The 14,710-nt window shown below is 32.8% G+C and overlaps 1 protein-coding gene across 29 annotated transcripts in view; it reads right to left on the reverse strand.

The window, feature by feature from the left end:
- Positions 1-14,710, reverse strand: part of SUPT3H (SPT3 homolog, SAGA and STAGA complex component) — a 568,878-nt gene that overhangs the window by 178,989 nt on the left and 375,179 nt on the right. The window lies entirely within an intron of this gene.

The raw sequence follows: 14,710 nt of genomic DNA on the forward strand, positions 1-14,710 counted from the left end.
GCTACTGAGGAATAGACATAATATAGCTATGAAATGGGCAAAGAGTGAGATCTAACCAGGATTGGGGTTTTACTAGGGCAGGCATTGGTGCAGTGTGAGTTTTCAAATTTTTACTGAAGAGGGTCTGTGGTCAAAAAAAATTTCGGAGACTAAGGATGAAAAAGCACTAAGTACTACTAATACTGATGATCTAGAAGATACTTGAAAATCTTCCTAACCTGTCCACGGAACAGTTGTAAAAAGCCACTACATATCAATGTCACCAAGAAAATTCTAATAAATTCCTTATGCTAATATATCTAACAATCTAACTACTATGCAACAAAACAACTAAAATACCTAATAAAGGAAGAAACATATAAAACACCCAGCCATTTGGAAAATATATATCTATATATTTTAAATATTATAAGTAAATTAGGCCAAAGGGCAATTCAAAAGGGAAATTACAGACTATGTATGAAAGGCTTAAATAAAAAAAAAAAAAAAAAAAAAAAATTTATGGGCTACACCAAAAGCAATATTAAGATGAAAGTTTACAACACTAATATTTCTATTGTTAAATAAAAATTTTCCTATTTTTAAAAAAAAGACTACATTTGATTTTAAAACATATTTGTAAAATTATTTCCCTAGGAGAGTACCTAGAAATGCAATTTCTGCATCAAATAACATATAATGGTTTTTAACATGTATTTGATAGATATTGCCACATGTATTTCCAGAAAGCTGTATCAATATATGCTTCCACTAATATGAGATTGTCTATTTCTCCACACCCAAGCAAACACTGGATAATTCTTGGTACAAATTAAACAAATTACATTTTCTAGCTTAAATAAAGTGTGGCTTCTTTTCTTCCTGGTTTTGATTTGGTTTCTGGGGTGGGGAGATTCAATATTATTAGAATTTATTACGAATGAATTGTAAATTTTCTTATAGATGTCTCATGCCTCAGAGATCCCACAATTCTTTGAATAACACACATTTGGCCTATAGTTGTATGTGAAAGTACCCAAGTCCCACACAAGTGGATGGAATGATTTATAATAACATGAGACATTAAAAGAATATTTAAAAATATCTGATGAGTTTGAGATGACTGATATCCCAAGGAAATAAAATCCAGGCCACCAAAATAACCCATCACCCTTTGGTTACACTGCATGTATAAGTGAGATCATGTAGTATTTTTCTTTCTGTGTCTGGCTTACTGCACTTAGCATAATATACTCTAGGTTCATTCATGTAGTCACAAATGGCACAATATCCACTTTTTTGAAGGCTGAGTAATATTTTATTATATATGTGTGTATATCTATTTCACAATTTCTTTATCCATTCACCTGCTGACAGGTCAGGTAGGCTGTTTCCACATCTTGGCTATCTTGGCTATTGTGAATTATGCTGCAATGAACATGGGAATGCAGGCATCTCTTTGAGGTATCAAGATCATTTCTTTTGGATATATACCCAGAAGCAGCATTGCTGGATCATCTGATAGTCTACTTTTAACTTTTTGAGGAACTTCCATGCTGTTTTCCGTAATGACTGTACCAAACTTCCTTTCCCACAAATAACGTACAAAGGTTCCTATTCCTCCACGCCCTAACACTTACCTCTTGTCTTTTTAATAAAGGCCATCCTAATAGGTGTGAGGTGATACATCTCACTGCAGCTTTGATTTGCATTTCCCTGATGATTAGTACTGTTAAGCATCTTTTCATATACTTGTTAGCCATTTTTATGTCTTCTTTGGAAAAATGTCTCGTCAGGTCCTTTGTTCCTTTTTTTAATTGGGTTGTTATTTTGCTATTGAGTTGTGTGAGTTCCTTATATATTTTGGGTATTAACTCCTTATCAGATGTATGATTTGCAAATATTTCTCCCAACCCACAGGTTTCCTTTTCATATTGTTGACTTTTTCCTTTGCCATGCAGAAGCTTTTTAGAGTGATATAGTCCAAATTGTTTATTTTTGTTTTTGCTTCATGAGCTTTTGGTGTGATATCCAAAAAATCTTACCAAGGCCAACGTCAAGGAGCTTTGCCCTATGTTTTCTCCTAGGAGTTTTACACTTTTATGTTTATCTTCAATCCATCTGAGTTAATTACGGTGAGAGATAAGGATTCAATTTCATTTTTTTTTCGCATGTGGATATTCACTTTTACCAACACCATTTATTGAAGAGACTATCCTTTCCCCATTGTGCATTCTTGACACCTTTGTCGAAGATTAGTTGACCACATGCGTGTAGGTTTATTTCTGGGCTTTCTGTTCCATTGGTCTCTGTGTCTGTTTTTATGGCAAATCTCATGTTAAAATGTGATTTCCAGTGTTGGAGGTGGGGCCTGGTAGGAGGTGATTGAATCATGGGGGCAGTAGGGTACTGTTTTGATTACTATAGCTTGGTAACATAATTGGAGATCAGGGTGTGATGCCTCCCACTTTGTTCTTTCTCAAGGTTGCTGATATGGTTTGGATATTCTTCCCCTCTAAATCATATGTTAAAATGTGATTCCCAGTGTTGGAAATGGGGCCTGGTTGGGGGTGATTGGATCATGGGGGCAAGCCCATCATGAATAGACAATGGAACTTTACACAGAGCTACTCTCTAGGAACAAAGGCTTCACTTCTTCATCCATTCATCTCTCTCTTTTTCTTCCCCTACCTCATTTCTTTGTCTCTCCCTCACTTGAATAACTTCTACAGTTACAGTAAAGGTATACGGTAGTATTCTTTGCAGATATTTGTGTATGTATTAAATTTTGGCAAAGTCTTATTTTAAATTACTTAAAAGAACAATGATTTAAAATAAATTTATTATTTTAATAAACAAGTTATTTATTAAAATAATTATTATACTTTTATGTAATACAAGTATTCTTGCAAAATGAAAACAATTACCCAGTGATTTTGGATTTTTCTAAAGTTTGTTTTCCTAAAGGTGGCCACTTTTGTAATTTAACCTCTATATTTGAGAGCAGCTCAACGAATCCATTAGTCATGACTGTCTTCTACTATTTGAGGTGAGAATAATGAGGAAATAAAAGTCCTTTCTTCAAGGTAGGACATGTAAAAGTAAGATATAATAAATATTTTTAAAAAATGAGATAAAATGCCCAAATTGTTAATACTTATTATTTATCTGAAAATTAAACACTCAAAAGTTTATTTCATGGCTATTAATTGTGAGAGTAAAAATTTTCGGAATTTCTATAGCAATGCAAAACACTGCCCTTTGTAACTGAATATTAAGTGCCATAGTGGTGACAGTAATAATCATATTAATCCCATGCTAAGGAATTAAGACTGCTCTCTAGAAAATGGAGAATCATGAAAAGGAGAAGCCTGGTAGGATCTGATCTGCCTTTTTGACTGATGCTATGAAAAGTTCCAAACGGATATGCTAATACAATAGATTATACTAATCACTAAATATTTATGGCTTAATCCAAAATTCTTTTTATTTATTTATTTATTTATTTATTTTTAGATGGAGTCTCCCTCTGTTGCCTACGCTGGAGTACAGTGACACGACCTCAGCTCACTGCAACCTCCGCCTTGTGGGTTCAAGCGTTAATCCAAAATTATTAATTCTAAATGAGGAACACAATGATATAGAAAAAAATCGAATTACATTAAACAGCTTGATTTGCACATTTTCTATAAAGTAGTGGCAACAATAAGAATTAAACTAAAGGCAGCTCCTCAGCATGGATGCACATAAAGAAATGGGGGAAATTATCTATACCAAACAAATAATGATCTGTTAATTCCACTAAATAAACTGAAACATTAAAAAGACAAAAATCTTGCCAGAGAATACACTTGTTTTCATATTTAGAAACACTAACTTGGTGAGATTAAACCAATAAAGATAAATAAAGGCCAAACTATGTAACAACCATCTGCCCACCTACTGTGGGGAATGTGGGTAAGGAGAAAGAATAGGGAAATATAATCCACAAAATATTCAAGGCAAAAATATTTTGGTTATTACAACAACCACAATTTGAGAACTATAAACATTAAATGTAAATTAGTGGCAAATCTTGTGGTGTTCTTAAATTCAATGATATTTTAAAATTCATCTTTGCCAAGGTGTTTTACAAACAAGCTAGAAGACTGATCTCTAAGAAAACCCTTGAAAAGTATTTTTTAAAAGAGAAGGATCTCATTTTAAAAAGAACAAACTGAAATTACTTGAGACAGAAAATATTGAGTGATTCTATAAAAAACTTAATTGAACAGTATAATCACCATGTGGCAGTCAAATATCCGTTTAGGCAAGACTAAAAACAGCAGCCCGGTAAGGCCTGCATCATGCATCACCAACAGTGGACACGAGTGTTCACAGTGTGCAGTGCTGATGTCTATCTTTACCCAAATAAATGACTCTGTTTTACTTCCCTTGATGTAGGAAAGGTGGAAATAAATAGCAATCATTATTCCAATGCTTTCCTACCAAATCCAGATAGAAAATATCATGTCCCCATAACAAAAGATACTTGTGAATATCAGATAATATATTCTGATCTGGATTAGGGAAAATAGGATTACTATGAGTATGGTTTCAATGCTGCCACCATGTATTTTGCTCCCCTGCAGACTAAAGAAAGGAATAGGGGGAAGAAAACTTTTAAATTTCATCCAAAAACTAACAGTAAAGAATCTAAATAGGTCCAAGGGTGGGGGACAAATGGGAATGGTACTAATATTGTTTTTAAAAAGATGGCAGTCATTTGATTAATCCTGCTATAAAATTTCTCTACAGCAAAGCAACAACTGTAAGAGATTATATATCCAGAAATGTTAGAGAATGATTAAAAAACAGTGCCAGGCTTGGTGCCTCACACCTATAATCCCAGCATTTTGGGAGGCTAAGATGGGAGGATTGCTTGAGCCCAGGAGTTTGAGACCAGCCTGGACAACATAGTAAGACCCTGTCTCTACAAAAATATGAAAATTTGGTGGGTGTGGTGGCACGTTCCTGTAGTCTCAACTACTTGGGAGGCTCAGGCTAGAGGATCGATCAAGCCTGGGAGGTTGAGGCTGCAGTGAGCTGTGATTGGGCCATGGCATTTCAGCCTGGGGAACAGAAGGAGACTCTGTCTTTAAAACAAAACAAAACAAAAACAGAATAAAACAAACACAACCACTCTAGTTTCACACCTGTATGTGAGGTGCTCTAATCATCAAAGCAGAAGTCAGACTCCACCCTCAGCTGAAGCTCATATTTCACAAGGTTAAGAAAAGCATAAAAAGATCCCTTGAGAGCCATCTTCAAATTGGATATAGTAAGCTACAGAAAAATAGGGATCTAGGTAAGAGTTAGGTTAGAGTTCCATTTTTATAGATCTGTAACTTGCTTTTTATTTCATTAACTGAAAAATGCCTTCTCCAGAAGGCACTTTCCCCAATTTTAGACAAGCACTTATGACAACAAATACACAATTCTTTACCATTATATCATAAAAGTACAGCTATAGCTATGGGTAAAATGTAATTTGATAGTATAAAAAGTCACAGACGGAAATCACTTTCAGAGCTACATATTACATCTATTTTGGGTTCTTCTAAATCAAATAATACTACCTCGTCTACAGTTCCTATGCCAGAATAACATATACTGAATGACATTAATCCTGCACTGTGCAGCTAGATTTACCACAGGTATCTTGTTGGTATTTCTACTAATACTCCCTTCAGAATAATTTCATAAGTATTTTGAAATTGTTTGAACAAAAATTAACCTTTAATAAACATAACAATGAGTTATCCTAATGAAACTCTTCCAGGAACTAACCTTGACGTATTACATTGTTTCATGTTTTTCAATGCACCCTAGCCCTTTTCAAGTTTATTTTGCAAACCACACTGAAGCTAATTCAATGACCCTGCCTAAATGTCTTAAAGAAGTAATGTGCCCTATGTCAGAATAAACTAAATTTCAAATTATGTAGCAAGTAGAAAATATATGGCTCAAAAACAAAACCAATAATCCATTAAGAAGGTTCAAAATTAAAAACAAATATAGTAATAATTAGAATAGTAACCCATTTATTGAGGCTGTATTCACCTTTACTAGATACTTACTTTTGATTGGTCAGTTATTACTCTAGGACTGTGAGGGCAAAGGCCATATTTTATCTTTTTTTAATAGTCACAGCCTCAGGACCTAGAACAGTGATTGACTTAAAAAATCTCAATAAATAAATGTTTAATAAATAAAGGAGTGAAAGCATGGATGGACGATTTGCTTGACTCCAAAGAAAAAGATTTGCATTCATTTTTACCACGTTGTGTCTTAGAGAAAACTTCCTAGAGAGTTGAACAGAGCGCCAAGATTCTAAGACATCATTCTACTAATTCACACTGCCGTAATGTTAAAGACCTTTACACTGAAGGACCTTTGTGGCTATCTTTTCACACCCATTACTTCTTCCTAAAGTTCCAGAGATCCAGGGTTTTGCTGAAGTCTGACTGTACACTCAACTTCAGGGATGAAGCATACAGCTTAGGGTAAGCCAGACAGGACATTTCATCCTACTAGCTACTGCCACTGGCAGGGACTGGGGAGATGTTGTGACCCAAGCCTTTTTAAGAGTAAATCTTGGGACAAAGGCATTCTCTCTCCACCTGGACCTAAAACTTCTATAGTCATTTGTGCTCCTATGTGAGAAATAAATATTCAATATGACCTGAAGATTAGGCCAACAAAAACATAAAAGGGCAGGAAAAGCAGAATAGGGAATTGGAGCTAGAAATCCAATGTACATTGTGAACTTCAATATCAAACCTTGCTTGAAGCCAAATCTACCTCTGGGCTTTGTTATCTGAAACAAAACCTTTCCCTAGCTGCTTAATTTTGTTTGAATTGGTTTTTTTTTTTTAATTAACTGCAATCAATAGCATCATGCAAAAATATTAACTGTTTTCAACTTTTACATCATTATTACTGCTCTGAAGATGGTCTGTATGACACTATGTAGGGTTATAGTCCCCTACTCTTCAATTATATGATGTAATATTATACCTATACATCTTCAAATTGGAACAGCAGCTTTCTGAAATATTTGAGAATCTAAACTCAAACTATAGCTGAATAAAACATTTAAAGGACTAAAAATAAACACCAATATTAATATCTATTGATATTTATTTATTGAGAGCATCTAATAGATGTTACTGCATTTATACAAAAATACCCATGAAACTAGAATCTTCCTGATATAATCATGTCTCAAATAAAATGCAAAATAAACTTTATTACTTTCAGTATGACAATTCACAGACAACTTTTTCTTCCCTAAAGATCTATTTTATTCCCTACCTCTTTAAACTGTCTTGCATCTAGAAACAAGGGACAATTAAAAGGAAAAACATGCATAAGAAACAACTGCTTACTTAGCAAATCACAACTAAACCACCATACTTTCTTATGTCTAAAATTTAACTGACACTTTACGAGTTTCTAACTGCTAGTATTTCAATCTGGCAACAAGCGCCTTCTCTAGATGAGAAAAAATCAATGGTACATCTTTTTGCACAACATGCATTTACTTGTATTTACATGCATATTATATGTGTATATTGCTTCATACATTCATCTGTTCAGTCTTAACTGCAAGCATCTAAAGAGCCTATTTAATTTGCTTCATAAAGCATATCCTTCAGCACCACTTACAAAGTAAATACTTCTGATGGGAAAAATAAAATAAAATGAAAAGAGAAATTGCAGAACAAAGGAAATCAAATGAGGATTAAGAGAAACATAACAGAGATGGTAAATATGTAAATTCAAAACAGCATAAATTTATAAATTCAATAAACTTGTAAATCTCATCCTCCACTGTCAGCCACTATTAGCATGTTGGTATATTTCTCCTTGCAGCCTTAATTTCAATGTGTTTGCGAAACATGAATATTCCCTTATCATCAGGTAAACAGGGTTCTCAGCCCATTTCCAATACTATGAAAAACATTGTGATGAATAGTTTTGTGCATATGAATGTGCACATGAACAAAATTCCTGATATCTAAAGAGAAATTACCAAATGTAGGTCTACTAGGCTGCAGTATATTAATGCTTCTAATGCTTCTAACTGAATTGATATTTTAAAATACTTTCTCGGTTTTACTAATCTACATTTCCACAGTTAATGTGTTACCACTCCCATCTTACTTTTGACCATTTTATATACAAAAATGGCATTATTTCAATACCAGTAAGTAGATACTTTATATATTTATTTTTATTTCTTCTTGTTTTTCATATCCTTTGCCAATTTTCCTACTAGAATGTTCTTACTGATTTTAAAAGAGCTATATAAATGATACTGATAGTTTTGTCATATTTTTATTCATTTGCCTTTTAATAATTTTTGTGTTTTTGAAACAGACATAATTTTTATAAGATCAAATTTAAAAGTCACTTCCTTTGTGATTTTTTCACCCCCAAACTGGGCTCTGAGTGACCTTTCAGAATATTTTAATAGAGTCTATTTCCTCTCTTGAAAAATTCACAAAATTTAGCATACAAAACCCTCTGAAAATTCCTAAAAGAAACTTCTTAAAAGTTTGAACTTAGCATTTCACAAACTTATTTGAAAACAGACCACTCCCTACTCCCACAGTGTATTTGACAACATCTTGAGGAACAGCATTTCTCAAAAGCTTTGAAACAAAAGCCTAGAAAGTCCTTCCATATTACCTGTGGTTATTTGTATTTTTTAAAAATGGTTTTACTTTTTATACCAATTTTTTAATATTCTGGAATGTATTTTGATGCATGTGTAAGGTTAAGAGTTATCATTATGTTTTCTTTTTCAGTAGTTCTATAATTGTCTTGGCATCTTTCTCCCACTGATTTCTAATACCATCTTTATTGTGACTAATTCTTCTTTATATTTAATTGTATCATTTATTCTCTTCACAGGAGTGCCTGTGGGTTTTACACTAGTACCACACTATTTTGACTGTCGTAGTTTCATGGAATCTTATATTATTTGGTGGTATTAGGTTGGTGCAAAAGTAATTGTGGTTTTGCCATTAAATTAAACTCAATCTCCTACTCTTCTTTAATGAAAATTTCTTGGCTATCCTAATTTTTTATAACTTCAGATGAAGTCTAATATCATTTTATAAAGTTTTTTTTAAATCCTGCTGAGATTTCTGTTTAAACAACATTAAGCCAATACATTAATGTGGAAACAACTGAGCTATTTACAACATTTAGTCTATATCCAGGAACATAGTGCTTTTTCATTTATACACTCATGTCTCAGTACATTATTAAAAATGAGTTACATATTTCTTTTACATTTTTTGTTAATATAAAGTTCATCTCCAAATAATTTTTTTCTTGTATTATTCTGATTGACACTGTCTTTTTTCTCAATTCTACTATTGAATATTACTGAATTTATTATTGAGTATTACTGAATTATGGAAGAAGCTCCTAATTTTGGTCAGTGTCTATCTGACTTAATGAAGACTTTTACTGGCTTCAGTACTTTTTACATTGATGCTCAAGGATTACCAAAATTAATAAATTATGTTATCTGTACATAATGATAAATTTTTGTCTCCTGCCAATAGCAATGCCTTTTATTGCACTGCCTAGTGCTCCTTGAACTCTCGCAAATAAAAGTGGTAACAGTGGGCATTCCAGAATTTGACAGAACTCTTAATATTTTTAAAACTATCATGATGTCTGTTCATTTAAGTGAGATATTTTTTATCATGAAGTAGAAGGACTTTTCTATATCTAGTTTATTAAGATTTTCTAAAAAGTCTAGGAAGTGAATTTTGTCATATCTCTTTTTATTACCAATTAAAACTATCATATGGTTATTCTTATTTGACCTAGCTATTTGATATATGATAGTAATATATTTTCTAATATTGAAGCATACTCGAACTCAAGGAAAAAATCCTACTCAGTTGTGATACATTTTTCATTATATATACTTTCAAATTAAAATTGCTAATACTTTAAGATTTATGCATCTATATTCCTAAGGAAGGTATTATGATAATTTTCATTCATTTGAGCTCTGTCTGAAGTTATGCTTGCTTTTTAAAATTTAATGACAAGTTCTCCTTTTTTTTTCTTTTCTATGCTCTGAGATAGCTTGGATAGCATGATAATTAACTATTTCATGAATTAAAGAGCTCTTCCATAAACTGGGTTAGATTCAGAGACTTCTGAGCATACAACTGTTTAAAAAAATTTGTCATTTCTTTGAGTTACTGATTTATCCAGGTTTAGTACTTCCTGATGAGTAAAAATTACACATTTATATTTTCTTAGAAAAACACTCATTCATCAAGATTTATAAATAAATTGGTTACTAAATTATCGAGCATCTATGGCTATATCATTATTCACTGCTAATTTTTAGTATTGATTGGTGCAAAAGTAATTGCGGTTTTTGCCTTTTTAAATGGCAAAATGATAAATTGTGGTCTTCTGTCAATAGCTATACCTTTTATTGAGAGCTCCTTGAACTCTGGCAAATAAAAGTGGTAACAGTGGGCATTCTAGAATTAAATTTTTTAGTGGCAAAAACTGCAATTACTTTTGCACCAACCTAATACTTATTTTTTATTTTTCTTATTTAGAGGTGACACAGATTCATTCTACCACTTTGTTCTTATATTTGCAAAGAATTTCTTAAGTTGATAAATTTAATTATATGTCTTCTTTTTATTTCTGCTTATCTTTGTATTTTCATTTTTCCTGTCTTCTCTATTTTATTGTAAAATTTCTATGCTTTAGTTGAATGTTTGGTTTATTTTCATTATTTCCAATTTAATAATGAAAGACTTAAAAGCAAAAAAGTTGCTTCTCTTTTTAACAAAGCTTTGTCTACACTTGTTTAATTTTATATGGACTTTTCTCGTTGTTACTATCTAAACAGTCTGTGACAGTACAGTTAAATTTATTTTTGGTTCATTAGTTGCCTCTGTGATTTTTTTTCCCTTTTTAATTTTCAATCAGTCAAGGTTTTGTTTGTTAGTTTAACTTCCGTTATTACTTTCTAGGTTTTCTTTCCATTCTGGTAAAGTAATATGCCCTATAAATTTTTGCATTTTTGGAGTTTGTTGACTGTATGTGTGTGAGAGAAAGCGACAGTAAGAAAGAGAGTGAGAGTGAAGGTGGGTGTGAGAGACAGAGAAAGATTTTGTTTGATTCTTCATGGATGGTTGAATAGTGTTTCGGTTTTTCGTTTTTAACAGACAAGGTCTTGCTATGTTGCCCAGGTTGGACTTGAACTCCTAGGCTCAAATGACTCAGTCTCCTGAATAGCTGGGACTACAGGCGTACACCACCACGTGCACCTGAAGGGTGGTGTTTTGTAACGATTTTCGATTTTAAAAAACAGTGAATCACTTTCTTCACTGATGATATGTACAGCCATTACATATAATTGAACATGTGCTGGTTGAAGGTGTGAGGGCAGATGGAGGCTACAGCCCCACCAAACCTCTTCTCTCTTCCCTGAAGAGACCCATGGAATCCTTGGAGTTGTACGATTTTAAGACTATTGCTCATTTATAAAACATTATATATGCATCTATTAGATAAACTTAGATATTTATTAAAGTCTTTTTTTTCCCTTGAATTAATCAGTCAAAGATGGGGATGGTGTGTTCTAGTCTCCACAACAAATGTTTTTCTCTGACCTCTCTCCACATACTAGAAGCTTTCAATGCTCTGGAATTTGATGATTAACAGTTTGCACCTACTATATTTTCACTATAGGTGTATCTTTTAGTAACATAAAATTATTGCCTTTATTCCATTTTAAAGCTTCTCTCCTTAAATTCTCTTTTCTCTGAAATTAATACTGTAACCCCCAGTATTACAGGGTTTGTATGATATACCTCTGATTGTTCTTTAACTTTTACCTTTTAAATAATCTAGAAAAATTACATTTCTATTTCTATATATGTATATATGGGCATAGTGTATACATGTATGTACATGAATTTGCATATGTAAATGTATATACACATATAAATGTATATACACAGATATATACATACATGTATTTATTATGTACATATGTAAACTACATATATCTTTGTAGTATATAATTCTATCTTTATTTCACAGTCCCATATATTATAACATATTTAAGAGTTTCAGTTTTTAACTCAACTTTTTAAACTTTTCTGGTATTTGTGAATGTTTATCTTACTGGGATTAGCCTTTTTCTTTTATGTTAAGTATTATGTAAGATATTTTTGGACTGTTAGCTTTACAGACATTTTATTTTCCTTTTCCTTATAACTGAAATAAATCATGATAGGTAGAAATGGGAATGGTAGAAAGACTTCAAAAACAGGAGATGGACAACTTCTACAGGCATCCACCTATTTCTTCTTCAATGAGTTTTCTAGTCCACTTACCTCCAAAAACCATAACCCTGGGACTCAAAATCTCCAGGCATCATAACCATGCCACACTTGGGCACAACTGAATGATATATCTGATTTCTCTTATTATTCAGTCTTTATGAGAAACTATATGTTTTCAAATCTATGGTCAGTTCATTTCAGGTTAAGCAAATTCAGATGACTACCTGGCACCTTATTTAATTTAAAGCTTATTATCAACAAATTTTAAGCTGCCTTAAATGTTATGTATATCACTCTGCTTTCTCTCTAGATTCCACTATTAAGCCTCTGATATGAAAACACAAGATAAAAAGTCACTAGGGATTTTCTGCACCCCAAACTGTTTAAAAGCTGCTCTCTCTGGTAAGCTCTAATCCTTGCTCTCTTGTTTACTTTTATCAATTTGAGGATTACTCTGAAGGTAGAGTTCTCTCAACTTTTTAAGCACCCATTGTTTACATCTCTTTACAAACTTAGGGGCTTACAAGACTAGATAGTTTACTTGATTATTGACAAACTTGAGCTTCTCAGGTTCCTCTACAAGCAGCAAAGCAGGTTCTTAGGCACAGCTCTTCTGTGGGTGACCACAGTTCCTCACTGACAAGAAAACTCAAAGCTATTTGAAGCTTTCAGTGACTGTATTTTGGTCTTTGGTTGACAATATTTGATTAGATGAAAAAATTAGAATGAAAGAAACATTAGCTACACTTAGACACACCTGCCTTATTTTAGGATGGAGGTGGGTGGGGTTGGAGGGAAGCTATAGTTGTATGTATTTCCCTGCTCTTCTTTCTCAGTCCCTCAAATACACTAAAGCAACTCTGAGCATTATTTAATCTTTATTTGATCATTTAAAAGGATGTTCTGAGATCATGGATCTCTACTATAGGTATGCCCAAGTGCTAGAATCTGGTGCTAGAGAAAAATAAATGTGTAAGAGTTAGCTAACTATCACGATGATGAACTAGTAAGGCAAAATGGATGTAAAAATTCAGATTTTTTTATATTTCAAGTCACATAAACTAATAGTAATGAAGTAAATTATGGATGAAACTAAAGCCAAGCACACATACATCAGCTGAAAACAATAGGAAAGAACTCAGGCTGTTTTTTGTATGTTTGCTCAATGTTTTGAGAAGAAGCTAGAATACCAAGTGAGTTTTTATATCTATAAAGAAGAAAGAAAACTAAAATTAAGCCTGTTGGTAGGTCTATACCATTTTCATACATGCTAGGGGAGAAGGTAGTAAACAAAGTTTCTGCAACCATAAGTGATGCTTGGAGGAAAGTTAAGTCATTGAATGATGCCAGGACTGATTATTCTACTGAACTTTAAAAGCAAGAGATTGCAGTCTCTGAGTCCAAAGTGGTTTCATATGAACTGCCACAGTTGTGGTTAACTCTTGAAACTATAACCTATCAAATTAGAAGCAGGCAAGGCCTATGCTCTTAACAGTTCCACTTTCTACTGTCTACAGTTAAGTTATGTCTACAAGCCCAGCATATTTTTTTCAGTTAAACTGTTATTTGGATGAGTAGAATATAAAAGCTACTCTGTTATGTTGGCCAGAGAAGATTTTTGTTATGATACAAAGCTTAACGAAGTTGCCAGTCTCATGTTTATTTGTACATATGAAGATTTTCACTGTAACTAGTTTTATCAACTTCTGATATTTTATTATCCTGGTTACCAGTATGTAATACATAACTATAAAGAAGAAGTGTACAGACTGCATAAGTACCCAAGCTTTTTCTACCCTGCATCTCCAGATATTTTATTGACTTTAGTACCCTGCTGACCCCCAGTTTTCTAGGTCTACAGTAGCCTGCTATTATAGAGCTACAAAATGTTCCATTTCTTCTCTTCTTGATTGTGGAATGCCCTTTTAGGTAACAGGTTTGGCTAGCCAAGATCTTCCCATCAAAATTGAAAAGTTACCTGTTCAATTTTACTAATGCTTTATGTATTATGCTTTATTCCTTAATGAACCTTTCTCAGTGGCCATTTTTATAATATAAAAATATTTAAAAAATAAAGCATAAACAATATTTGCTCTTTGTGTAATGCATCATAAGTGAAACCATGCCACTAAACAACCATATCCTGTTTGGGCAATGATGACATCAGAAATACATGTTTATCATCTGCTTTGGACAACTTAGCATGTTTTTGGCCCAAGGCAAAGTTGAACTAAAATTATTTGCAGTTGTACCAAACCAAGATAACCACACATTTCTAAAGTAATTGATACCTAAAAGAACACTGCCTTTAGATCACAGTTCATGATCCAAGCCTGCTA

Source organism: Homo sapiens, chromosome 6 (genome assembly GCF_000001405.40).
Source record: "Homo sapiens chromosome 6, GRCh38.p14 Primary Assembly".
NCBI lineage: Eukaryota > Metazoa > Chordata > Mammalia > Primates > Hominidae > Homo > Homo sapiens.